General features: G+C 42.8%; 1 pseudogene; it reads right to left on the reverse strand.

Moving 5' to 3' along the window:
- Positions 1-1846: 1846 nt before the first annotated feature.
- Positions 1847-2869, reverse strand: PRELID1P4 (PRELID1 pseudogene 4; annotated as a pseudogene).

Raw genomic sequence — 3091 nt, forward strand, 5'->3', positions numbered from 1 at the left:
TGTATCCTTTTGTTCTAAACTCATAAAAATGACACCAGTATTCTACAACATCCAAGATACCTCATTAGGATTTTATTAATGAACCTTTTAAAGGCAATCCCTCCCTAAAAGGGAAATTACATTTGGTTCAGAATAAATGAACTCACACAATTAAAGATCTGAGTTGATTTAAGGCTACGCAGCTGAGAAACTTAAGCAGATTTCAAATTTGGAGGAATATACCGTCATGGCCCCAGATAAGAATATTATTCCTAATTTGATTATACTTTCACAACATGCAATGCTATATTTTCAGAATTAGGTAAATACAGAAATATGGGTCATTACTGGGTTTCAGTTTTATGCATAAATAAAATGTTAGGGAAAAAGTTTCACTGAATTTTATTTTAATCCTTTGTCACCTCATCTCTCTGACATTATAAATCCCACTGACATTATAAAGCAAACCACAGTTTTGCTATTAATGAGACATACAAAACAGCTTGTCTGGCATTTGATTCCTATAAAAACTTTGAGGTCAAAAGTTATTTCTCACTAATGCATAACTGTAATGGACATTGAATACTTGGGCTAGGCTTTTGATCTGGAAGGATTTTGAAAAATCTTTTTTATAATGGACAATGTTTGTATTTTTATATTAAAAGACTCATAAAACCAAATGAAAACACAATTGACAGTACTATAATCAAAGGAGGAAAAAAGACCTCCAACCATTTAAGTAAGTTGTTTCCTTACAAATGTAGATGGAAAAATACTGCAAAATAAACTACCAAAATCAAAAGTTAACAGACCATGATCATAACTGTCATTTATTTCTGACTTGTATGAGGAAATAAGTAAAAAGTACAGGCAAAGGAAAATGCGAACCCAAATTTTGATGAACAAATTTCACAGTAGATAATTCTTCTGCTTTTGGATTTTTGCCATCAAAATATAGTTAATAATTAAGAATCAGAGGGCATAAATCACCAAGAAAAATCAATGGACAGCTTCCAGAGAGAAAGAGAAGAGCACATATGGCTACAGATATCCAGGACTGGAAACAACGGAACTTTTGCAAGATATTTACTCCACCAAATAAGTTATTTTTTAAATTTATTATTTATTTATTTAGTTTTTGAGACGGAGTCTCTTGCTCTGTCACCTAGGCTGGAGTGCAATGGCGCGATCTCGGCTCATTGCAACCTCTGCCTCCTGGGTTCAAGTGATTCTCCTGTCTCAGCCTCCCAAGTAGCTGGTATTGCAGGCGCAAGCTGCCATGCCCGGTTAATTTTTTTTTTTTTTTGTATTTTAGTAGAGACGGGGTTTCACCATGTTGCCTAGGGTGGTCTTGAACTCCTGAGCTCAGGCAATCCACCCACCTCAGCCTCTCAAAGTGCTAGGATTTTATAGGCGTGAGCCACCATGCCTGGCTGCGAATAAGTTATTAAACAGTGTGTGTGAATTGTTTTAATTATTTTACTAAAACCAGCAGTGAGGATAATGATTACTTGCATTTAAGCTTTGCTGCATTAATCCTGTAAAAATATTCATGTTGAAGTATGGTGGTTCCATAAAAAATTAAACAGAATTATCATATGATCTAGCAGTCCGACTTCTGAGTATATAAACAAAAATAACTGAAAGTAGAGACTTCAACAGATATTTATTTATTTATTTTTTTGAAATCAACAAGTATTTATTGAGTGCCTATTATGTGCTAGATATTGAGACACATCAGAGAACAAAACCAAGAGCCCTGCCCTTGTGGGGTTTACAGTCTAGCACTTAGTGCCAGTTTACCTGCAGGCTACCTGGAGCCCGGGTCAAGTCACTGCCCCTCTGTTCCTCGGTCTGCAGCTGCCCAATGGGAGAATAAGCAGACGTGGCTCAAACGTGGATCACGTGCCTGGTGTACTGCAGATGTCAAACTGGATTCCCCACAACCCACCGCCCAGACAGTAGATAGGGCTGGAAGTTGATTTTTAATGATAAAGTACAATGGAGGGAGGGCAGAGGGGCTAAGCCAACTGTCTGGGGAGCTGTGGTGGTGATGGGCTGGCTACACAAACTGCTGCTACTGCTGCTGCTTCTTGGTGGCCGCCTTGCTGGCGAGGTCCTTGGCCTTCTCTGTAGCTGCCAGGGCCGTCTCCTTTGCCTTCTCCTTGGCTTCCCTGGCTGTCTTAATAAGTGTTTTGGAAGCAGCCTCGCCTTGCAGCTTCGCCAAGATATATTCAAAACCCTTCAAAGTCTTGGTCACGTTGCTTTTGAACTGGGCAAGACCAAATTCCCAGACAGCTCTGGAGACACCGCATAAGCTAGAGGAGACCCACGCTTCCCGGCGGATTTCGGTCCAGCCACTGTTGTCAGAGTTCACACAGTAAACACATCGTTCCTCCACCACCATCGGCCGGGCGTGGTTGATGTTCCAGGTGAAGGTGGTCATGGTCTGATTCTGTGGGTCCACAACAGAGTCCTCCAATATGTATGTACACCGAGTGAGCCACATTGGCAGGAAACAGTCGCTCGGCCCAGCGGGGCATCCTGTCGGTCTTGGTCATGAGTCGCCGGGACAGCAGTTTCTGGTCAGGGGTCACCTCCCGGTGTACTATGTCTTCCGTCAAGATACGTTTGCCACAGGGATTCGGGTACCGCTGCCAAAAGGCGGCGAACACTTGGTCCCAGGAACTGCGGAGCACGCCCTGGCCCAGTAAATACTTCACCATCGTCCCGGCCGGAGCGGGCTCAGCACCCGCTCAGCATCAGGGGTGTGGAGCCTGGGAGGCACGCGGGGGCCGGGCCGGGGCTCGGCGCGCACCCGCCGCCAGGCTCGTAGCTCAGTCACCACCGCACCGCGCCCAAACAGCTGCCGCTGCCGCCGCCATGAGTTCAGATATTTATTTTTTTTTTCTGGTCAGGAGACTGGATTCAAATGAACAGATATTTGTGCATCAATAGTAAGATTATTCACAATGGCCAAAAGATAGAAGTGACCCAAATGTTCATTGGCAGATGAATGGATAATCAAAATGTGGTACATACACACAATGGAATATCATTCAGCCTTAAAAAGGAATAAAATTCTAATTCATGCAATAATAACCTTAAAGAC

The sequence above is a fragment of the Homo sapiens genome, chromosome 15 (genome assembly GCF_000001405.40).
Source record: "Homo sapiens chromosome 15, GRCh38.p14 Primary Assembly".
Classification (NCBI taxonomy): Eukaryota; Metazoa; Chordata; class Mammalia; order Primates; family Hominidae; genus Homo; species Homo sapiens.